Source organism: Homo sapiens, chromosome 5 (assembly GCF_000001405.40).
Source record: "Homo sapiens chromosome 5, GRCh38.p14 Primary Assembly".
Taxonomy (NCBI): domain Eukaryota; kingdom Metazoa; phylum Chordata; class Mammalia; order Primates; family Hominidae; genus Homo; species Homo sapiens.
The window spans coordinates 117,417,200-117,442,365 of NC_000005.10; the positions used below are offsets into that span (position 1 = coordinate 117,417,200).

General features: G+C 33.4%; 1 long non-coding RNA gene across 1 annotated transcript in view; it reads left to right on the forward strand.

The window, feature by feature from the left end:
• Positions 1-25,166, forward strand: part of LINC00992 (long intergenic non-protein coding RNA 992) — a 164,233-nt gene that overhangs the window by 1,688 nt on the left and 137,379 nt on the right. Inside the window, exon 2 of the long non-coding RNA NR_046089.1 lies at positions 20,325-20,420. This is a non-coding gene — a long non-coding RNA (long intergenic non-protein coding RNA 992). The remainder of the gene's footprint in view (positions 1-20,324; positions 20,421-25,166) is intronic.

Here is a 25,166-nt window from a genome sequence, read left to right on the forward strand (position 1 = left end):
ATTGAAAATTACTTATTTCTTAGTGTCTATTTTTCTTTAAATTTTCAAAATATTTGCAACAGTGAACAATCTAGCTCATAGCTTCACTTACATATTATTTAGATTTGCTCAGGTATTTCGTTTAAATGTTCATTTCGCTTGTTGCTAATTGTTATCATTGAGGAAAAAATTCTCAAATTCAATTTAATTTTATTAAAACAAACCTCTCTTGATTTATGTGGGGGCATATGCTGATTTTAATTATAGAGAGAAATTTTATCTGAACAGCAAGTGGAGATTAACCTTCACATCCTAAAATAAACATCCTGGAAAACCATTCAGTCAGCCCATATTATCTTTACATCATTACAACAGTCAGAGGATGTTTAATGGTAGCAATCCAACAAAAGGTTAGAAAACTAATAAATATTTAGGCTGGAGTCCATGGCTAATTAAAATCACATAAACAGATAATCAGATATCCAAACCTCCAAGTTTATTGTTGTCCTTTTAAAACTCAAAAATCTAATGAGCATAGCCTTTAAGAATAAATTAAGAACTCTCAATATCGAGATCAAGCAGGGGAGTGCATGTTTATAAGAAAGATTTTTTAAAAAATGCCCATTATCTTTTGACCTTTGGTGAAGTACATGATATTCTCATATGGAGTAAGCCCCTTGAGGATATTTGGACTAAAGAACTTAGTGTGTCTTCCAATCACAATATATTCTGATTCTATTATTGCAAGCAACTCCTCATTTCTACTCCAAACCCATCAACTCTAACGAATAAGAAAACCACATGAATTTGCACATTATCAACTCAATTATGACCTGATAAATAATTTCAAGACTATTCTTAAAATGGTCAAGAAAAAAACATTTTTATTTTCTAATTAACCTGTTTATCTTTGGCTTTATGGACTTCATTGATCGTCAAGCCTTAAATGACTATTAAAGTCACTGCTTTCTGTAAACAATACTTATGATAACTTTACAGATAACTCACTCAAAGGATTTTTTTTTTAATTACCCCTTGAGGCAAATACATCACGGTGATTGAAGCTAAATGAAAATAACTGGTTGCACCAGTTTTGACTATGTGTTTCATTAACAAATATTAAATTGTTTCTAATTACATTTTTTTGTCTTAGGATGTAAAGTCATGCTAGATGACAAGTGAGGAGAACATGTATTAAATACAAGTATAGATATTTGTCATTTTTTAAACCTCCTTTCTGGGCCCAATATGAGTGAAATAGTTTTGTCCTGTAGTCACAAAGTGTATAGCAACTCTTTGTAGTTTTTGATATATAGTTATTAATTGGGTTCTAAAAGAGCTTTTAACCTGCCTTGGCTTACGTTTGCTGTTACCAACCAATCTCACCTAAACAGGTGAAGGCCATGCATGCTTTTCATTGTACTGTGAAAAAAGTCTATGGCAAAAGATCAACTCATTGCTCTAGAAATGTTATCAAACGTTTTGATCATGACTTTAATAATTTAGTGAACCTAAAACAAATAATTTTGAAGAACAGAAATAAATTATTCACCATACAAATTTCAAAATAGCCATGTTTTTCTTCAAAACATTTAGGAAGAAAAAATCAAATATTTTTTAAAATCATAAAATAAGAAAAATACCCATTATAGCAATATGACAATAAATTTGAATGAGAAGAATTCTCTAATAACATAGGAAAGCATTTTAGAATGAACTTATTTATGTTAAAACTTCATTTTGTGATGAAGATATATCAGATAAATAGGAAGATAAGAAAACCAGGGAGAGTAATGTTGGTATCACATACTGTACATGAAAGAAAAATATTTCATATGATATAAAATCACATTTCATTGAGAAAAGTGTGATAGCAAACATATGAATCATAAAACTATCAAATATTACAGCAGCAATAAGTCACAAAGCAAAAACAATTTGGAATAAAATGACCTATTAACAAGAAACTATTGCAAAACTTTTAGAATGCCATTGTGATTCAATGGCAGATCAAATGTACAGGGTACTAATGAGAATTGCCATTTACTTGAGGAAAGGGTTTTTTTGTTTGGTTTTTACTTGTTTTTGCAGTTTTTTATTGTGATAATATACATATAATATAAAATTTACCATCTTAACCATATAAAGTATACAATTTAGTGGTACTAAACACATTCATAATGCAGCACAACCATCAGCACCATCCATCTCCAGAACTCTTTAATCTTGTAAAACAAACTTTATATGCATTAAATTATAACTTTCTGTTTCTACCTCTACCCAGGCCCTGAAAAGTAACTTTCTACTTTCTATCCCAATTATTTGGACTATTCCAGGTACCTTATATAACTGAAATAATGTATTATTTGTCTTTTTGTGACTTAGCATAATATTCTCAAGGCTCATCCATGTTTTAATATAGATCAGAATTTCCATCCTTATTAGGGCTGAAAAATATTTTATTGCATGTATATGCCACATTTTGGTTATTTATTTATCTGTATATGTACACTTGCGTTACTTTCACATTTTACCTATTGTGAATAATGCTGCTATGAACATAAATATGCAAGTATCTGTCCGGCACCTCACTTTCAATTTTGGGATATATATCAAGAAATGGAATTGCTGGATGGTGTGATAATTCTATTTTTGATTTTTTGAGGAACTGCTGTAATGTTTTCCACAGCGATTGTACCATTTTACATTACAACCAACAGTGTACGAGGGTTGCAATTTTTCCACATCCTGACCAGCACTTGTTATTTTCTGTTTTTTTTTTTTTTTAGTGATAGTCATTCTAATGGGCATGAGGTGGTATTGCAGTATAGTTTTCATTTGCATTTCTTTAATGCTTAGCGATATTTACCATCTTTTTATATGCTTTGTTCATTAGTTTTGTATTCAAGTCCTTTGCCTGGATTTGAATTGGGTTTTTTTTTTTTGTTGTTGTTGTTGTTGAGTTCTGTATACATTTTAGATATTGTTCCATTATCATATATGTAATATGCAGATATTTTCTCCCACTCTGTAGGTTGCTGTTTTACTCTGGGAAAGTAGTATCTTTTGATGTGCAAACTTTTATAATTTTTATGAAGTTCAATTTGTCTACTTTTATCTTTTGTCATCTGAGCCTTTGGTGTTATGTCTAAGAAATAACTGCCAAATCCAATGGCATGAAGATTTTATTTTTTGTTTAAAGCTAACAGTTTTATAATTTTAGATTTTACATTTAGGTCTTTGATCCATTTTCAGTTAACTTTTTTGTATTTGGTGTTAGGTAATAGTCCAACTTTGTAATTTTGCATGTGGATATACAGTTTTCCCACTACTGTTTCTAGAAAAGACTGTCCTTTCCCCATTGAAAGGTCTTGGTACCTTGTCAAAAATTATTGGATTGTATATATGAAGGCTTATATATAAACTTTCTATAGTATTTCATTGGTCTATATGTTTGTCTTTATGCCAGTAGCACACTGCTTTAATTAAGTGAGCTTTGTATAATAGTAAGTTTCAAATCAGGAAGTGTGAGTCCTCTAGCTTTATTCTTTTATAAAATTGCTTGGGCTATCTGAGGTTTCTTAAGATTTTATATCAATTTTGGAAGATTTTATATAAATTTCTTTCAACAACTTTTATAGTTTTCATTGTACAAGTCTTTTACCTCATTGGTTAATTCCTGCTTTTTTATCTTTTTGTCAGGAGATTTTTGATTACTGTTTTAATCTCCTTGTTAGTTAGAGTCTATTGTATTTTTTTTTCTTTGAGACAGGATCTTGCTTTGTCACCCAGTCTGAAGTGCAATGCCCAATCACAGCTCACAGCAGCCTTGACATGTAGGCTCAAGTGATTCTCCCACCTCAGCCTCCCACAAAGCTGGAACAATAGGTATATACCACCCATGCCTGGCTAATTTTTTAAATTTTTTGTAGAGACAGGATATCCCTATGCTGCCGAGGATGGTCTCAATCTCCTGAGCTGAAGGGATTCTCCTGCCTTGGCTTTCCAAATTGCTGGGATTACAAGTATGAGCCACTGCACCTGACCAGACATTATTTTTCTTTATGACTTAGTCTTAGCAGGCTTTGTATTTCCAGGAATTTGCACATTTTTTCTAGGTTATCTAATTTGCTTCTGTAATTGCTCTTGTATTTAACTGTAACAAAATATTTCTTTATTTTGCCTCATGTTTCTATTTAGTGTCCTTAATTTTTCCTTGGAGGAATCCTTTGAGTATTTCTTGCAGAGAAAGTCTACTGGTAATAAACACTCTGAGCTTTTGTTTATCTTGGAATATCTTAATTTCTCTCTCACTTTTGAAGAACACTTTTGTTGGATATAAGATTCTTAGTTCACAGTTTTTTTTTTTCTTTTAGCACTTTGAATATATTAGTTCACTACCTTCTAGTCTCCAAAGACTCTGATGAAAAATTTGCAGACAATCCAATTGAAGATCACTTGTATGTAATGAGTTACTTCCCTCTTGCTGATTCCTATATATTCTTTTTGTCTTTGGTTTTGAAAAATGTGCTTATAATGTGTCTTGGTATGGATCTATTTGAGTTCATCTTACTTGGAGTTCCTTGAGCTTCTTGGATGTTTGTATTTATGTATTTCATCAAACTTAGAAGTTTTAATTCTTCAGATACTGTCTCTTCCTCTTTCTCTATCTCTTCTCTTTTGGGGATTCACATAGTATGCATGTTAGTCCACTTGATGGTATTCCATTGGTCCCTCTGGTACTATTCACTTTTCTTCAAATATTTTTCTCTCTGTTCCTCAGACTCAGTAATTTGCATTTTCCTATTATTGTTTGCTGATCATTTTCTCTGTCCACTCAAATATGCCTTTGAATTCACCTAGTGAATTTGTTATGTCACGTTGTACTTTTCAGGTCTATAATTTTTTGTTTGCTTCTCTTTGAAATTTTTTTTGTTGTTAATATTTTTACTGTTGTTGGACTTCCTTCACATCTTTTCTTAGTTCTTTGAGCATCTTTAAGATAGGTGGTTTAAAGTCTTTGTCTAGTAGTTCTGCCATTAGGTCTTTCTCAGGGAGAGTTCTGTTGATAATTATTATTTGAAATTGTGATACCTTCCTGTTTCTTTGTATGCCTTCTTTTTTTATTTTAAAAAAACATTCGAATGTAATAATGTGATAACTTCTGAAATCAGATTTTCCCCCTTCTCCAACATTTTCTGTTTTAGGTTATTGTGTTTGTTTCTTCTTATTATTATAATTTTATAGGCTATTTCTGCATGAACAATTGACCTAAGGTATGGATATATAAAACATATACATAAAAACAGTAAATTATATTGATTGAATTATATTGTTGAATAATGAACCAACCTTGCACCCTTGAGATAGAACTCACTTGTTAATGATGTATTATGTCTTTTATGTATTGTTGGATTCAATACATAAAATTCAATTTGGAGCCAGCAGATGTCATCTCTCGTGTTAATATTTGGTTAGAAATTTCTGTGTCAATGTTCATGAATAATGTCCTTTGCAGGATCTGAACTTAGTTTAAACTACAATTAAAAAATGACCTAGAAACTGTTATTCATCTTATATTTCCTGAAAAAGTTAGTGTAAGACTGTGGAACCAGTTTAAGAATTATCAACAAAAAAATTTGATTTCAGATTGATATCTATCATGGTTTTGTGTTATTTTTTTCTGATCAGTTTTTATTAATTGTATTTTTTAAAGACTTCTGTACTTCATATACTCTGTCAAATTTATCAGTATAAATTATGCATAATACTCTTTATTAATGAATATGATCCAACTAACTTGCACCCTTCAATACTTGTATTTGGGAATTTGTCTTTTTTCTTTTGTGTGTGTGTTAAATCTTGTTAGTAGCCTGTTAATTTTATCAATTATTTAAAAGAATTTTTAGCTTTGTTAATAATCTTTCTAGTATGCATTTTACTTTTATTGCTTTTTGATCTTTTAATTATTACTTTATATTTACTTTGAGATTAATTTGTTCTATTTTCCTTGCTTATTCAGAGAAAACTTAGGCTTTTTTAAAATATTTTTTATTCTAAGCTTCTAAGCACTGTTTTAGCTGCATTCTCTATCATGTGATACCTGTATTTTTATAATTATTCAGTTTGAAATATTTTCTAATTTGCCATTAAATTTTTGTTTGAGTCATGAGCTTTTTAAAGAAGTACTATTCAAATTCTAAATATTTGGGATATTTCTAATAACTTTTTATTATTGGTTTCTCATTGAATTATGTTTTGGTCTAATGATAGTAATATTTCAGTCATTTAAAATGTATTAACGTTTATTTTTATGGCCTAGCATGTGGTATAACTTGGTGAACATTTCATGCACACTTGAGAAGAATATGTATTCTGTAGTTGTTGGATGCTGCATTTGATGAAAGTCAGTTAGGCCAAGGTGATTAATTTTGTGGTTCAAATAATAAATATCTCTATATTCTGTCTGTTTTTGAAATTTCCAGTGTGATTGTGGATTGGTCTCCCTCTTTGGTGTTATCAAATTTTGCTATATGTACAGTGAGGTATTAGCTTCAATTTTGAAAGACAGTTTATTGACTATGGAGTTTGACTTTTTAATTTGTTTATTTAGTTCTTTAAATATACTGTTTCATTGCCTTTTGGTCTCTATTGTATCAAATCACCTTGGTCTCTAATAACCTGTGGGTCCTATATAAAGAATTAGTCTTGTTTTGTCTCTTTTGGACAGATATAATTAATGCAAATTTACAAATACATTTTTAAAAACGTTTAAAGTGCATCATACAAATACGAAATTGAATAGTGTAATCTCTCCCTCTCTTTCTTGTCCCTCCTACTACCTTCCCATTTATTGATCATAATGTATATACTAGCCGGGTTTCTATGCAATTTAGATATAATATCTGAACTTTTGCAAAGCAATATAACTGTGGTATTAATATTTTTTTTCTTATTCTCAGCTGGGCATGGTGGCTCATGCCTGTATTCTTATTACTTTGGGAGGCAGAGGCAGGCAGATCACCTCAGGTCAGGAGTTCAAGACCAGCCTGGCCAACATGGCGAAACCCCGTTTCTACTAAAAATACAATTAGCTGAGCGTGGTAGAGGGCGCCTGTAATCCCAGCTACTCAGATGGTTGTGTCAGGAGAATCACTTGAACCCAGGAGGTGGAGGTTGCAGTGAGCGCGATTGTGCCACTGCATTCCAGCCTGGGCAACAGAGCAAGACGCTGCCTCAAAAAAAATTCCTTATTTTCTTCATCTATAAAATGTGTATAATAATAGTAAATACATTATATGGTTTTAGTGAGAAATAGTGCAATAATGATTATGAAACTCTTAGGAAAGTGTCTGCTTCTTAGTAATTGTTTATTAAATGACAACAATTAAAATTATTTTTGTTATGCCCATTTTACAAATGCCAGTTACCAATTTATTGCCTCTCAAGTTTAAATCCACCTTATCTGTCATACTTTTGATACTGTTGCTGGCCCCAGTAGATTTCTTTTTTCAGCTGGCTCAATGTTAGGCTCTGTCAATAGAGGGTACTGCTTCAGTGTGTGGCTTCTTTGGTGCAGAGTCAGCAGATATCTTCTCTCATGAACCATCTCTTGCTCATACCTTCTGGATAGTTTCTTTGCAGTCGGAGGCTGCTTATTCTTGTGACAGCCACACCCTCTCAAAAGATGTTCGAATCTCAGTTTTGGGGATAGAGGCTCTTGTTAACATTTTACTTTCTTCATTGCTTACTCTCCATCAACTTTTGATGTAGTAGCTTTGCTTTTGCTACTACTATACTAAACCCTCACTTGGTTTAGTAGTTTAGTAGTTACCTGCATTTTAACTAGCTTACAATTCTTTATATATAAAAATTTTTTAAATATAAAATTCCTTTGTTCATATTACTGATGAAGTTTCTGTCTCTTGATTGGACCCTAAGTGATGGCACATACAATATCTAAGTGTTAGAAAATTGACTAACTAAATCTCACAAAATGGATGACCTGTAGGGCTTAGAATTAAAACCGGTTTTACTTTTGTGCAGATTATTATCCATTAAGGCCTACAGATCTGCTCTCTATCTCCCTCCATCTTTCTTGGTGCCATGAGAGACTGACTTTGTCCTCTGTTAGTGAATTCCTTTGTCCTCTGTTAGTCAGTGGGGGGTACCAGCAAGCGTTCAGGAGGAGGGAGAACATCAAAGTATTATTCTCCCAGCTCTCTTCCTGCAGGGTTGCTGTAGTTTGGCTTCTTGTTACATGGCTTCAGCTTCTGTGACAGTCCTCTTATTTCCATTTCCTGATAACACTTTCTCCTCTTGTCTTTATAAACCTAAGGGAGGTGTCTTAGCCCCGCTATATCTAGCTATAGAATATTGCACTGTCCCCCATGGTTTCCCAACACCTTGCCAACACTTTTGAAAAAAGTGTCTTTATTAGATACGTCTTAAATTTTACTAACTTTATTGCACCATCTGTTTTCTGCAGGGATCTTGACCAAAATAACAATATTCAAAAGTCTGTGCTCAATACCTTAACTTATAATGCCTCATTGGAAGCCAAATATCATGCCAAGTGCAAAAGTTTCTCTGCCAAATATTTTAACGTTTCATGTATTTGAGTTGGGATTTACTTAATTTTAAAAATCATCTAGAGAGGAAAATCCAATTTGAATGTTGGCAAAATGTTCTTTAAAAATAGAATTAAGTTTATGAGGAAAAGAAACTCTAGCTTCCACCTGTATCTTCTAAGCATTCATTTTCTCCTCTGGAAGTAAACATCTTTAAGTTTCTTGTGTTCTCTTCCAGAAATTGTCCATTCATTTACAAAGATTATGATAAATAAATGGATGTACAGACAAATGATAGATTAAAAAAATCTTTACACAAGTGGAAATACAATACACACAAAATAAAATTTCACTTAAAAACTACTTGGAGCTTTTTCTGTATCTGTCTTTATTTATTTTAGAGACAAGGGGTTGTGCTGTGTTGCCCAGGCTAGAGTGTAGTGGCACAATCATAGCTCACTGAGGTGTCACACTCCTGGTCTCAAGTGATCCTCTCACTTCAGCCTCCCAAGGCAACAAGATTACAGTCATGAGCCGCTGTGCCCAGCTCTCTCTCTTTTTTAAGGTAGCCTTTTAGTATTTTACTTTGAAAATATGCCATCATTTATTTAGCCAGTAATCTGATGATGGTCAATTGGCTTCTTTCCAATGATTTACTATCACAAAAATTCCACAATGAACATATTATATGTTTGTAAAAGTGCACATGTATATGTATTTGCACACAACAATATACTTTTAGGATTAAACCTAGGGGTAGAAGGTGTACACTTAATATATTGACATTGCCAAATTTCTATTGAAGTTGTACTGAATTATATTTCCACCAATAATAGATTACAATTCTCTTTTTCCTACAAATATCCTACACCATCTAATAGATAAAAATGTAGTATAATTATACCTTTTGTAGCATTTCTTTTCTGATTTGCATGGGTGAGATTAAGCACCTTTTCATATATTTAAGAACTATTTGTATTTTCTTTTTAAGTGTAACTGTGTTCAATGTTGTTTATTTTTCTACAGTGCACATTTTTTGAGCTATTATATTGATAGAGCTTTTTGTGTATTAAGGAAATGAGCCTTTATCTGTAATGATGTGACAATATTTTTTCTTAGTTTTTTCTGTTTTTCTTTGGACATAGTTTATGGTTTGATTTAGCCATTCAGACATTTTTAAATTTAATGTGGTCTAATATGTTAGGCTTTTATGGTTTGGGTTTTTTTTTCATACTTAGAAAATCATACATTTTCTAATAATTTTTTTTGTTTTTAGTCCAATATAATTTTGGTATACGTTTATATTTGTCATCCATTTTGAATTTTTTTCAGTGTAGGTAATATAGTGGTCCAATATATTTTTTTCCGAAATGACGATTGATCACACAACTATTTTAAAATCATTGATTGAAAATCAATTTTCACTATTTATTTTCAGAATTACTTTATCATGTAATAAATTTACACACATATATTAATATATGTATTTATACATATTTAAGACCGTCTATACTCTTTGTTCTATTTATATTTCTCTGTTATTGATTTATTTCATACTATTTTATAATATGTTTTGTAATCTAATAAAATATTTTCTCCTGGTTTTGGATCTTTATTTTCCCACATGACTTTGGATCTTTTTTATCTGGATCTTAATTCAAAGTCCTGTTGGTATTTTTATTGTGGTTTTATTAATTTAAATTTAGTAGAAGCATTGATAGAGTTGTGATACTGAATCTTCCTCTAGGAATGGCATATTGAATGGCTTACTCTTTAGGATAGTTTGTTTTTTTCTTACCTCATTGCCATAAAATTGGTTAGGTATATATTAAACAATATGTTGTGAGAAAATTCTCCCTCTGTTCTTGACCTTTCTGATTTGTGATGAACTTTATCTGCCCTTTCTTATCAGCAGATGACCTAACCCTCTCTTTCATGGACTAAATAAAATCCACAAATTTAAATTTTCTGCCACAATATCCTTATTTACTTGTATCTGTATCAAAGCTTCTCCTCTTTTCTTTAAGAAAAAAACAGAAATGGTTCTTTACTTTGAGATAGGCATTATCTGTTATCCAAGTGTATTTCTTTTTTGCTCTTCAGAGCCATAACTTCATGACCTTTAGCAGCTAAATATTTCTTCTAACAAATTCCAGATATATTCTCTTCTTTTGACCTACATCACTGTCATTGTTGTGCAGAAGGTCAACAATATTTTCTTTGGTAATTGGAATAACTTCCTAATAAATCTGCATATCTCCAGTTGTGACAATTTTCCCCAGTCTCCGCAAATTCATTCTTCAACTTTCATTGTTAGTGTCCAACTGAATTCATAATGTTCTTGTTCAACTACACATTTGATTGTTATACAGTCTTACTAAAACCCTTCAATAGGTTCCCAATGCTTTTCAGATGAGGGCCAAGCTCCTGATCATGGCTTGTAGAAGGAGACCACACATTCTGGCTTTTCTTTATCTTGCCATCCTGATCTTACTATAGTCCTTGTGACACTTTGTGGGCTCCCAAGGTACCCAGTTTAGTTTTCTGAATCTTGAGTCTACCATGCTCCTCTCTACTAGTGCAGCAATATATATATATAATTTTTTTTTCAGCTGATTTTCTCTTTGTCTGGAACTTTCTTCTATCTATTCCTCTCCTACTCCTAAAGGAAAACTGTTTTAATTCAGGTCAACTTTACTATTTACCTGACTTATTACAGGCAGTAGAGCATAGTAATCAGGAATATAATATTTAGGATGAAAAATTCAGTTTTTGAATCCTGTTTCTACCACATACACAATTTGTGTGATCTTGGGCAATTTCTTATCTAATCTGAGCCTCAGTTTCTGATTTACATAAAATACTGATAAGATCTACTTCACAAAGTTATGACAATTAAGAGGTATAAAATACATGATGTGCTTAGGACATGGTCCAGCTCTGAGTAAGTAGTCCATAATATTATCTTCTTCTGTTATGTCCAGGTTGCCTTCTTTCTTTAGGCTATTCTCCACAATACAGTGACCTCATCAAGTTACAAATATGCTTAAAACTCATCTGGGCCTATTCAATATCTATATAATAAAGAACAAATTCCTTTCTTCTTTTACTTAGCATGTATTTATTGGGAACATTTTATATGAAAGTTATAGTGTGATGAAATAGTGAATGGTAAATGAAACACTTTCAATATTCTGTCTTAAAGAGCTTATATTCTACTAGAGTAGACAGATCTAGTATTTCTCTCTCTTTTAGATCCTAACTGAGGATTTTAGGGTGCTGTTGAAGCAATGAAATCATATATCTTGTGCCCTCATGGTTTAAAGACCCAGAAATTGTTTCCTTAGGGGAATTGTTTTAACCGAGCCTGATAATATGAATAGAAATTACAAAGGAAACTTTAGCATAAGTAGTTTTGACTTGCGAGTCTTTAATGTGGCTATGAATCATTTTGTAATTTTGTCCCTTCTTGCTTTTCCACATCTTTCTGGTTTTTCCTTTCAGAAGCTTTGCTTAGGCCATAAAAATTATCTATAGTTTCCCAAAGAGACCAGGTTCTATTGACATAAGCCCTTTGCATATGTTACTGTCTCTTGTTTGACTGATTTTTCTCATCTTTTTTTCTTAGATAACTCATCCTATCCTTCAGGTTTTAGCTTGGATATTCCTTCTTCTGGCAGCCAGTTGAATTTGTTGTTCTGTAGATTACGTAGTACCTACTCATACAACATTACACTGGGTTTGCCTCTGTAGTTTGCAAAGCTCCACAAAGGCAAAGGCAAAGGCAATATTCCATTCTACTTTTTTCCCTTAGTTTCAAAAACAGTGCTTGGTACATTATTGCAGGTTGTCAATAAACATTTGTTGAGTAGATATATGAATTTCTAATATAAAAAGAAAATGCATTTAGCACATTCAAATCAGAACGCAATATTTTCCAATATGTTGTTGAATAATGTAGTGTGTGCCAAAAATTTAGGAAAGAATATATCTTAATCCAAAAAATAGAGCATCTGTCTTCCTAGCAGAATATAATCAGGAAAAATTTATGGGATAGAAATGGCTTTGGAATGTGAGCTGTCACTTTAAATTAATACCTTTTCTGGAAAAACTTTGCTACTCTTAGCATTATTGAAATTGTTTTTTTTTTCATATAACAAGTGAATGCATGTATACATATATATACACATGTGTATTCTCACATTTAAAATTGATGTATTAAGAAGGTTCTAGCAACATTTAGGGAAACATTAAAAATCTATGTCCATGCAAAGACTTAAACATTTTTATAGTGGTATTATTTATAATTGCAAAAAACTGGGTAACAATCCAAATATCCATCGACTGCTGAAATGGTAAACAAAATGCATCGTATTTATACGATGGAGTGTAATTTAGACATAATAATGAACAGACTACGGATATGAATATACCTCAAAAGCATTATAAAATAGTGAAAGAAACCAGACACAAAAGACTATGTATTGGATGATTTCATTTATATAAAATTTCTGAAAGGGACAAATCTCTAAGAGACAGAGAGCAATGCTTGCCTAGGCCTAAGAAATGAGAGTAGGGACTGACTGCAAACGGACAAGAGGCAATTTTATAGGGTGATGGAAATGTTTTAATGTTACAATGATGCTTACACAACTGTGTAAATCTACTAAAAGTCATTGAAATATAAACGTCAATGTGTGACTTTTATGGTATATAAATTACTCCTCAATAAAGCTCTTTACAAAAAGATTGAAAGAAACACATCCTAGTGCATTTTCTATTGGAGTATAAATTAGTACAGAGTTTTGGAGGATATTTTAGTAATATATATCAAAAGCCTTAAGATTATATTCTCTTTGACATAGCAATTACACTTCTGAGATTTTTGTTTTAAGGAAATAATTAAGAAATTATTAAAGTACACAAACATTTAAATATAAGAATTTTATTTCAGGATGAAAATTTTTCTTTGTTCAAAACAAAAGTTTTCTTTACTTATAATTGCCTCAATTTTTCTATTTTGGTTTGCATATAATCAGTGCTTTAATAAAAATAACATAATATTTGGTTTTAGGATGAATATTAACAGTAAAATAAGTTGGAATTAATCTAAATATTCCAAGGGAAATATGGAAGCATTTCCTAACTCTTCCTCATGAATAGTTATTCTCTTTTTAATTCATATAATATAGCTCCATAGCTCCTTTTGCTTCCCCACCCATACCGTCAGCTTTAACTGACTACATAAACATACTGGAGAAAAACTACTTTCCTAGCCGACTTCACAGTTAGATGTGCACATGGTATGAACTACTGACCAATGTATGTGAATAAAACTAATGTGTCCAATTTCTGAGCCATGCCAATTAAAGTCATGTAGCTTGCAATCTAACTTCATTTTTTCTTCACCCATCCTGTGCTTGGCATGTAGATGTGGTGTTGGTGAGCCACATTAAAACTCGTGGTTGAGGACAATGTACTATAAGTTATGACAGAGTGACAAGGTAGATGAAACCTAGGTCCCTGAATGACATGAAGCAGAGCTGTCCTTTCAGCCTGGACTGGCCAGATGGTTAATGTAAAACAGAGAGCCACTGCAGGTCTTCCAATAACATCGTTTCATTCAAAGTTCCTTCGTCATTATGTTGGTAAGAAAACAAATAAAAAGAATCCTGCCTGGGCCAACTCTCTCTGTGGAGTTTGCTCATTCTCCCCATGTCTGTGTGGGTTTTCTCTAGGTACTCTGGTTTTCTTCCACACTCCAAAGATGTGCACATTAGGGTGAATTGGTGTGTCTCAATTGTCGCAGTGTGACTGAATGTGTGTGGGTATGTGAGTGCACCCTGTGAAGGTATAGCATCCTGTCCCAGATGGTCAAGGTCCCCACCTTGCACCTGAGCTTCTAGGATAGGATCTAGTCACCCATGACCCTTAACTGGAATAATTGGGTAAATAATTATCTTACTTATTACTCTTTCTCAAAAATATGAATAGCTCATATTTATTTTAATGTTTAAGATTAGAAGTGTTTTGGTCTTTTTTTTTTTCTTAGAAGTTCAATGATGCATTGTGTCCAGAAATATGCCATTGGAATTTGACCCTTGTTTGTATCAACTAGCTTATGGTAAAATTGGTTTTGTTATATATGGTTTTGCTTACAGTCACAGCTTCCAAGAACGTATTGATGTTTAGTGAGGACTTAATGTACTTTGATTGTATGTCAGCTGCTCTAGTTCTTGTTCTCATGTTATAGCAGCTTAAAGTAGCACCTTCTAATATAGGAGAGGCCAAATAAAAAAAAGTGATACGATTAAGTGAAATATAACCATTAATTACATACTGGAATTGAAAGAGAGCTGTGGACATGGGACATGCTTTATTTCTGGATATATCTATACATTTCAGCAGTAGACACACCAAGTTATAATGGCACTAAAAGTTGAAAAAGCATGTAAACAATTTGCCTAGTAAAGATATTTGGGATTTTTTTTTTTTTTTTTTTTTTTTTTTTTTGAGATGGATTCTGGCTCTGTCACCCAGGCTGGAGTTCAGTGGCGTGATTTCGGCTCACTGCAACCTCTGCCCCCAGAGTTCAAGTAAGTCTCCTGCCTCAGCCTTCCAGGTAGCTGGGACTACAGGCCTGCACCACCATGCCTGGCTAATTTTTGTATTTTTGATAGAGATGGGGTTTCGCCATGTTGGCCAGGCTGGTCTTGAGCCCATGACCTCAAGTGATCCACCTGCCTGGGCCTCCCAAAGTGCTGGGATTACAGGCATGAGCCACCGCGCCTGGCCTGGGATTCTTAAGGTAAAAATGTATTATATGCAGGATGGTTAAATGATGCTAAGATATTTAGTTATACCCCACATAACATTCTACAGTGTGACAATATGATATTTTTCATTCTCATTCAATTCTCTATCTTTGAGAACTCATTAATTCATAGAACTTAAACTTCTGCTACTCTATATACCAATCCCAGATCTATTTCTCTGAGTGCAAAAAATTCTCTTAAAACCTAAGGGACATGCAAAGCTGGGGCAAATATTATGTCTGTTCACATGACGGGGGGTAAACTTGACTACAAAGAATCTATGGGCACCTAAGACCAATAACTGTACTACCAAGATAAATTCCAGATTGTTATTATATTGCACAGTGAAAGCTAACTCAGTATGAAATGAACTGTCTTAGGAGATACTGGAGTTGTCTTAATATAATCCTATCAAGTGTTGTAGATACTAAAGATAAAGTAGTAAAAATTATAAATATGTATTTTGGCCTAAGTGACCATTCAGACTTTTGGTTATCTCAGAGGTTACCACATTCTTTGTTAAAATGCATGTCCGAACAATGCCATAGTTTGAATGCAATGCTTTGTACAAAAAGAGTTTTTTGAAATTATATTTTCCTTATTTTTAGAAAATAATGTTTTTATATTAACCTTCAAAGTCTATGCTAGCTATATTTAGGCATGTCTTTATGATCACAGTTTCAGCTAAATTTCCTGGAAACTCACTGTTGTAGTGTGCTCTTACCTGAATTAATTTTGTTTTACTCTTCTTGGTCCTCAAAGACTGAATTTTTGGAACATTTTAGCACAAACCACAAACATCTTTAAGGAAAAACAAATAAGATACTTTTTGACATCTGGAAACCTTACAGTTAGTTTTTAGCTTATAAGTTTGGTCACCCTTCATAAGTTTACTTACAATAGCAAGTACATTTTATGTGCATTTTACATGTTGGTGTAATATAAGATACAGTCAATGCTGACTTGGAAAGATACACAGAAAATCTTTGCAAATTTTGAGGTAGAAAAAACTACTGTTTTATATGTCTCCACTAAAATGACAAAGATGCTTAAGTAAAGTTATAATGCATTTATGACTCATTTTTTCTATTAAAAATAAGAACTGATATAATGATTTTCAACATCTACTGTTGATTTTCTACAGACTGGTGATTCGATCATGAGTAAAGGAATGGTGACTGATTTTAGCCTTTGGAGAGTTGAAGAGAGCTAGCTAAAACTGCAGGCTGTGATTCAGAAATCCCATAACTGAGAAAGCCTAAAACTCAAAAAGGGCACGTTTATTGTTGAGACAATATGGCCTAAATTAATCTGAGTATATTCAAATGCAAAGTGAAAATGCTAAGCATTTAAGTGCCTTCAGCTCCTGTTCATTCCCCTAAATGGAAAAGCTGCTACAATGAAGAAAATACCTGGCAGCAGACACAGTGGCTTGGATGTGGCAGGCAGAAATGAGCTGCTTATACACCCATGTACTCCTCTACAAACCATGTAATAAATGTGCATGAGTCAGTGGGAAGTGAAATGGTTAGCCATATAATGCAGAAAGGTGTATTTTCTTCCCACATTAGCAAATTAAAATACAGCCTGCCTTCATTGTGAGATGCAATTTCTCTTTATTTTATATATATTTCCTCCAAGCTGGTTCTCTTTATTTTAATTTCTTGAACCCTCTTCCCACACTTTGATGGAGTCAGTTAAACATTCACTAGCTCTGTTATCCCCACCTTTAAATGAAATAAATATGGTTTAAGTCTGAAAGCTGCTTGCTGCTACATGAATAAAGGTAGCAGGCACTTGCCTCAGCAAAACAAAAGCAGCTGAAATGTGGTGAAATGCACATATTTATAGATGACACTGCAGTATTTATAATGTGAGGCTGGAGTCTCTACAGTGGAGATCTGGCTCTGTGTGACTGTGCCACTGAGGTCAGTTCAAGGCAGCTGACTGGCTTTCTATATATGGCCTGGGGGACAGCTGTTAAATTTTGAGACTAGAGCATTTAAAACAAGTCTTGGACCTGTTAAAGTCTAATAATTAGAATGAGAAATGGCAGGACTGGGAGTAAAAGATGCCATAGTCTTGACATTAGGGGAATATTTCCAAAAGAAATGATTTTGTGTCAGGCTGTAGTTATTACAAAGAAAATATTTAATTATTTTTGTGGTCTGAGTAACAAGTAGAACAAAAAAATCAATGCAATAAAGTTTGTAATTTTGATTATGTGACTCTCTCTTTGAGCAGTACTTGAGCAGAAAAGCAGATAGGCTCTGATTAGGCTTATAAATATAGAAATGTATTGATCACACACAAAAACTCCTTTAAGTGTTCCCTGCATGAGGTCAATGCATCTTTTAAAAGAGTAAAAAGATGTAGCTTGTCTCTCAAGGCTCCAACAAAGTTCGTGGAGCTGACATCTCTATAAATTACAGAAACATATTGACTTCTTTATGGACTATCCACAAACCAAATGGGATTATGTTGAGCAGTGTTCAGAGAATGTGCAGAACCCTATTTTGATTCCATTGTATGGATGTAAATTTTGTCAATGTTAAAGAGTCCAAAGGAGCAGGGGGAGCTGTAGATAGACACATTTGCATGAAGGAACTGGATTTTTTAGCAAAGTTATGAAGATTTTGGTTGCAACAAATTCTAGCCCATTTACCTCAACACCCTTCACTTTTGTTTATATAATGAATGAGATATGTTTTCACCTTCCAAGGTTCTTATCCATCTATAATTTTAGTTGCTCTGAATTATCCCTGACTACATTCTCCAAACCCAAACAAGAGAATGTTCCTGCTGAACATCATCCTGTCACTACAGAAACTTTGGAATCTTTGTAGAACATTTCTAATGGCTGGCAGAAAACTTTCCTTTTCAGAAGTACACTTTTGGCTCAGTTCCTTTTCCCAGGGCAAATAAGGAGCGTTATCATTTCTCTTAGTAACCAAATACACGCTTGTAACAAAGTAACATTTATACAAAACTCTTAGAAAATATAAAAGAAAGCTAAGCATTTCCACATAAAGCAGCCCCTATGGTCTAAAAGGATGTTTGTTAAATTATCAATTATGTAAAATTACTTCAATTGTTTCTTCATAGCATCAAAATTCTAGAAACTCTTTCAAGACCCAAGTAGGCAACATCCACTGAATAAATGTTAAAGCTGTCACTTATGTATCATAGTTCTATGCTCTAATCACTCAAGCATTTTTAGGAAGAAGACTCATACTTCCCATCTTATAACAGGCATTTTATCCTAGTCATTAGAGATGTAAGTTAGCTCAAAATAAACCAGCCTAGATCTGAAGGGATTTGTACTAGAGACATATTTATTTTAAAATATGAGAATTAAAATCTTACTAACTTTGGTGTCATGTTTTCAGCTGCATAAGACATTTATCCAATTAACTATTTTATATGAGTGACTTCGATTAGATGTAACTATTTTGAAAAATAGGGAAAATCAAGATTATAATTACAGAATAAACAAAAAAAATCAGAGATTAAAAAATATACAAGTCTTTCATTGTACATATTTATTTATGTCTTCTCAGTTAAAAAAGAAACAATTCTCTTGAGTGCTTACCATGTCGTAAGTAGATATCATGTTAAGCGTTTTGCAGGTGTCAGTTCAGCCATCTCAAGAATCATTTAAGTTTGATACTATTAACATTACTTCTATTGTAGGAATGATGAAACTGAGACTTCACCATTAATTAAATAAACTTATTGGTAGAAGAGAGAGTCAAATTCTGGTATTTGTCTACCCCTTAAACAATATTGTGCTGCGTTTCTGATGGAAAACAAGAGCAGCAAATAGGAAGTCCAGGCCAAGCAAGTTCATTAACTGAGGTCACTCATCTACCTAATGGCAAAACATGAACTGAGACTATAATCTACTGACTCATAATCATTAAGACATTTTTATTCCATGAAAATATTAAATTTGTGTGCACATTGTGTATTATATGCCATCTTATAACTACTGTTTATAACTCTTACATAATTTATAGCATATATAAAAGTGATACAAGATTAATAGATTTTTAAAAATGATACACTTTATAATTTTGTCTATTGTTGCCGAAAAGGGCACTCAAAAACATCTCTCCCAAATACTCCACCAAAAGTGTTGTGGAAACCCCTTGAGAGAATTGCTCTATGATAAATGGGTCATTCCCTCCTCGGAGTGGTTGACTTTAGTTGAATAATTTAATTACTCTCCTTTTACTACTAGCTGAGTTTAATTGCACGGAAGGTACAGGGATGTATTTTACTGGTCACCATTAATTGTTGAATTACTTAATTTTGAGTTGGCATAGTGAAGGAATTCAGGGACGGAAAAATTTGATTTTGTTGCCCCCCACCCCACGCCCCCCCTCACCTCCCCCCGCTCCAGATGATTTGTGTAGAATAAACTTGGTAAGTTTTAGGATGCAGAGGATGGGGTAGGGAAAATGCAAGATCAGCAACTAGGAATAGTGCCAAAAGGGAGGAAAATATACCACAGATACTTCAGCTACTTGTTCATTTTTCCAGACGACTGGGTACTAGGTTTCATGTGATGCTATAAGAGAAACAGACAGACAGTATCTCAAATAAATGATAAGCACTTTGGACCTTGAGGGATCAAGAATGAGAAATGACAACTTTGCTTTTACTCACACTATTTTTTCTTTCCCTTGGATACCCTCCTTTCTCCCTATGCTATAGTTTGGTGTGTTTGACCCCTCCAAATCTCATATCAAAATTTGATCCCCAGTGTTGGAGGTGGGGCCTAACAGGAAGTGTTTGGGTCATGAGAGAGGATTCCTCTTGAATGGCTTAGAGCCATTCTCCAAATAATGAGTGAGTTCTCACTCTGTTTGTTCCCAAGAGAGCTGGTGGTTAAAAGAGCCTGGAACATCCCCCCTCCATCTCTTCCTTCCTCTCTCACTATTTGATCTCTACCCAGGATGCTTCCTTTTCCTTCTGACATGAGTGGAACCAGCCATAGGCCCTCATCAGAGGCAGATGCTGGCACTTTGCTTCTCGTACAGCCTGCAGAATGGTGAGTCAAATAAATACCTTTTCTTTATAAATTACCCAGCCTCAGGTATTCCTTTATAGCAACACAGAAATGGAGTAAGATCCTCTCTATCCACCTGGAAAATCCTACTTCCCAGAGAGTTTTCTTTTATTTGCTCTTGCCAACAAAGTAGGGTCAACAGCTTGAAACCAAACCTTGTAAAGGTTGCTAATGTGTGGTTTTAAAAATTCAAATGCCTTTAGAAACCAGGCAGGGGACCTTAATGTGAAGCAGGAAAGATTATTCTAACAAAGGATTGTGTAGACTAAAAGGGGCATCACCCTCAGACACTGAATACTCAACAATTATTTGAACAACTTGAGTTAGGATTTCTTCTGAATTGTGCTGGATACTGCTTTGGCAGCTTAACAGAGGCTCGAGAGTATGTTGCCTCATGATTGTCAAAGGAAAGTCTATTATTACACTCCACAATGGCTCTAAAACCTGGTAATGGGCTATCCTATTTCTTACTACATTAAGTAACTTCTATGTCTAATGGCAATAATTTTTCAAGGTTCTTGAGCCCAATTTTTATAGATTTTTAAATTACCTATTCTCTGTATATATATATATATCAGTTTATATCCACCACTTCCAAACTTTTTCTTCTAACTTTCAATGTGCTGCTTCTGATTTTTGTGGCCTAGGACTACGGATAAATACATTTTTGAAATTTTGCATAAAATAAAAATAAGGTTTGAGTAAGCAATCTTAGAGCTATGTATAAATTGCAAGATATATTTTTTATATAATATTTGATAGATATTAAGCAATACATCTAACATTTAAGTAAATTTAAAAGTTAATTAAAATATTAACTATGACCTCACTATCAAACTTATAAACTATTAAAATACTAGTAATATTAATACCTATTATCTGTTCTTCCCATATTTAATTTCTAACTTCCCTACCAGAACAAAAACTACTCTTAATTTTGTGCTTATCATTTGTTTGTTGTAGTTTTTTAAATAGTACTACTATATATTTAAGTGTTAAACAATATGTTGCTTAGCTTTCTTGGTTTTGAGCATTATGAATTATCAAAATTATGTCTTCCACTATGAATTGCATTTCTCCCTCATTATATTTCTCACATTTATCCGTGTCGTTTTATGTAGTTGCAATTTATTCTTCTCATTCTTTCATAATATACCACCGTGATTATTGCAAAATTTCTTTACCCACATTCTAGTCAATGCATCATTTCTGTTTTTTTCAATTCTATGAACAATACTGTTACGAACATTATGTCTTTCCTGGTATACATATGCAAAATTTCCTCTAAAATATTGTTCAAACATTTTACTGTGATTTATACCACGATATAAATTTTAAACAACAGCTTGGTAGATATTTACAATAAGGAGTCTTTTAGTCTATGAATGTGGTATATCATTCCATTTATTTAAGCCTTTTAAATCTTTCTCTTTTTTTTTCTTCTTCTAGAGACAGAGTCTTGCTCTGCTGCTCAATCTGGAGTGCAGTGTTATGATCATAATTCACTGCAGCCCCAAACTCCTGTGCTCAAGCTATCCTCCCACCTCAGCTTCTTGAGTAGCTGGAACTACAGGCACATGCCAATATGCTTGGCTATTTTTTTAATTTTTATTTTTTATATATATGGGGTCTTAACTTTGTTGCCCAGGTTGTAAATATCTTTTCATAAAGTTTTCTTCTTTGCATGCAAACCATTAGCCACACTGAATTTTTCTATTCCCTCTTGAGATTACAAGTAGAAAGCAGACCTTCTAGTTTATCCCTTAGTTCTTTTAACATTCTTTCATATTTCCCATTTTCTTTTATCTCTAAACTATGCCGTGAGTACTTGCTCCACATCTGTCTTCCAATTCTTTTATAACCTTTGGCTGCTTTCTTACCTACAAATTAATTGTAAATTGTAAATTGTTGTTCTAGAATTTCATTTATTCTTTTCCAGATAAGTTTTGTAATTGTAATAGTTTATTTTCCATTGTTCACTTAAAAAAAAACTTTCTTCTTTTTCTCTTGAATATATTACATTATTTTATATTTTTTCTGATAGTTATATTATCTGAAGTCTTTGAGAGGCCTAAAGTTGTTGCCTTTTTAGTTTCTGCTTACTCTACCTCATGTTATATTGTGTTTTCTAGGTTTGTTTGTTTGTTTGTTTGTTATTGAGACGGAGTCTCGCTCAGCCGCCCAGGCTGGAGAGCAGTGGCGTGATCTGGGCTCACTACAAGCTCCACCTCCCGGGCTCAGGCCCTTCTCCTGCCTCAGCTTCCGAAGTAGCTGGGACTACAGGCGCCCGCCACCACGACCGGCTAATTTTTGATTTTGTATTTTTAGTAGAGATGGGTTTTCACTGTGTTAGCCAGGATGGTCTCTATCTCCTGACCTCGTGATCTGCCAGCCTTGGCCTCGGAAAGTGCTGGGATTACAGGCATGAGCCACCGCGCCCAGCTAGGTCTGTTTTTATGATTAAAATATATTAGCTATACTTGGTTGAAGTTAGTTTGTAAAAAACTGGGTCTGACTCAATGATGTTAACCTCCAAAGAGAATTTTATTTGTTCCTGCTGGATCCCAGAACCTGCTATTAATCTGAAGCTACTTTAACCTCCTCAGTGTTTCAATCTTAATCCACTGGTATTAGGTCCAGCTCTTTCACTGGTATTCCCAAGGCCTTGGCTCGAATTGCAGCATCACTAGTGGTATTATTTCCCAGGGCAATTATGTACCATTCACAGCTACTTTCTCTCATTAAAGTTCATCGTTTTGTTGTGGTGGTGGTGGTGCTTTGGGCTTAATTTTTACTCTTTGGAGATTTTCCGTATTTGTTATTAACCTTGACCTCAATGTCTTTCAAAATACGTTTTATCCAGATTGTAGCCGTATTGTAGCCAAAAGACCTTTCAAAGTAGCTAGCTTAACTCCCTTATTTCCAGAAACCAAAGCCCACATGCATGATATCAACTTTATGGCTACTTGACATCTACTGAGTGAATGACAAAATTCATTAGCAAACTAAAGAACATAATCAGCTTATGTGTGAATGTGTTGGGGAGTCTGCTTACAAATTTATGTTTGACTTATACAAATAACTGTACCTGTTACTTTGGATAAATGAAATTGATGAATCTCTTTGGGGACTATGCAAATATTAAAAAAGAAGAGCCTGAAAGTTTTATCTGCTGGATATAATGTTGTGGGAATGTTAATAAGAGTTAGATTATAACTTCTGTTAATAAGATATCTCTGGTGCTATAAAAAGAGGTTTTTGCTTCATTGATAGTACAGTGAATTAAAAAACATTAAGTAAATGCTTTTCCTCATGTGTCCACATTAAGAGGAGAAGGCAAGTTCTTGTTGGAAAAGTACTAATAGGACTTCATTCTTCTAATTAGATTTACTTTTTTTCTTTTCCTTTTGACAGCTGCCTGGGAAATATATAAAATGTAGTGAGCTGAATGGCATTAGGGATTTAATAGTGTCTGAGAAAAAATTCAACTATCTGTGCATTGTTTTAAGCCAAAGAAATACAATAAATTATCCAATTAACCTTACAGTCCTGTGGGTCTTTAAGTGTTATATTGTACATATTATCTTTCAAAGGACTATTCCACTCTCTTCATGGTTTTGCTTTATCATTTTGGTAAGTACTTTCAAGTTTGTGTATGCATCAGGATGGCTGAACAGGTTTCTTAATACATCCCATGAGGTGGCAACAGAGAGACTCCAGGGTTGAGGTGGAGGCAAGTGATACTACCTTTATGGTACAGTGCTATCATATTACTCCAACTACTTGCCACAGCAATGGCTGGAGTGCAGGAAGGTTCTGAGGATGTGGGGAGGAGGTGTATAAGACACAACTGTGCCTAGGATGCTCATTTTGAACAATCAGTTAGGACTTTCTACAGTTTGCGTACTCCTTAGTCTCTTGTACATCACATAGTAACTACTCCTTAGATTGCTTTTCCTGTGCTTTTTGCAAGTTAGGGATTATTCACTTCATTAAGGTGTAATCTAATACACTGGAATTGTCTTTTCCATAAATCATAAAAATAACTGTTCTATAGTGTCCTGTTTATGAAAATTCTTAAACATCACTTAGATTTTATAGTAAATATAAATATCACAATTATTCCTTTGTGTTTAACTACAGAAAAGCAGAAAATATTATTTTATGCCTGTGAAATGCAATGCAGGAAATTTAAATTCAGGATATAAATCAAGCAGCTGAGAGAAAAATCCATGATTAATTTAATACTTTATTGAAAAAGGCACTAAAGAATGGTCACAAATGTAGTGGTGTATTATAGATAATCTAATTGTTTATGTAACTGCAAATTTTTTTAAAGGCAATGTCTTTAGTTCTGCTCATAAAAAAAAAAAAAAAACAGCTTGAGCCCACAACTTCTAATCACACATTCAAATGTATTCAAACTACAGATGTTAATCACTCAATTCATCTTTCCAGCTGTGATGAAGATGAGGTTAGGGTGAAGTTGAGTGTATGAGTTTTTCAAGATAACAGATTATTGAAAATCTGGGCATCTACCTGGGTTTTGTTTTTTATGTTTGGAAATAAGAGTGGGTCAGAGCACATAAGAAAAATGTTAAAATCAAACTGAAATCTGAGAAGAGACAGTCTCTCAGAGAGCCAGCAAGCCTGAATGGGATAGAAGAGAAGACATGAATTAATTAATTAAAAGAGGGAATTGAAAGACTGCTGTGAAACAGCGTTACT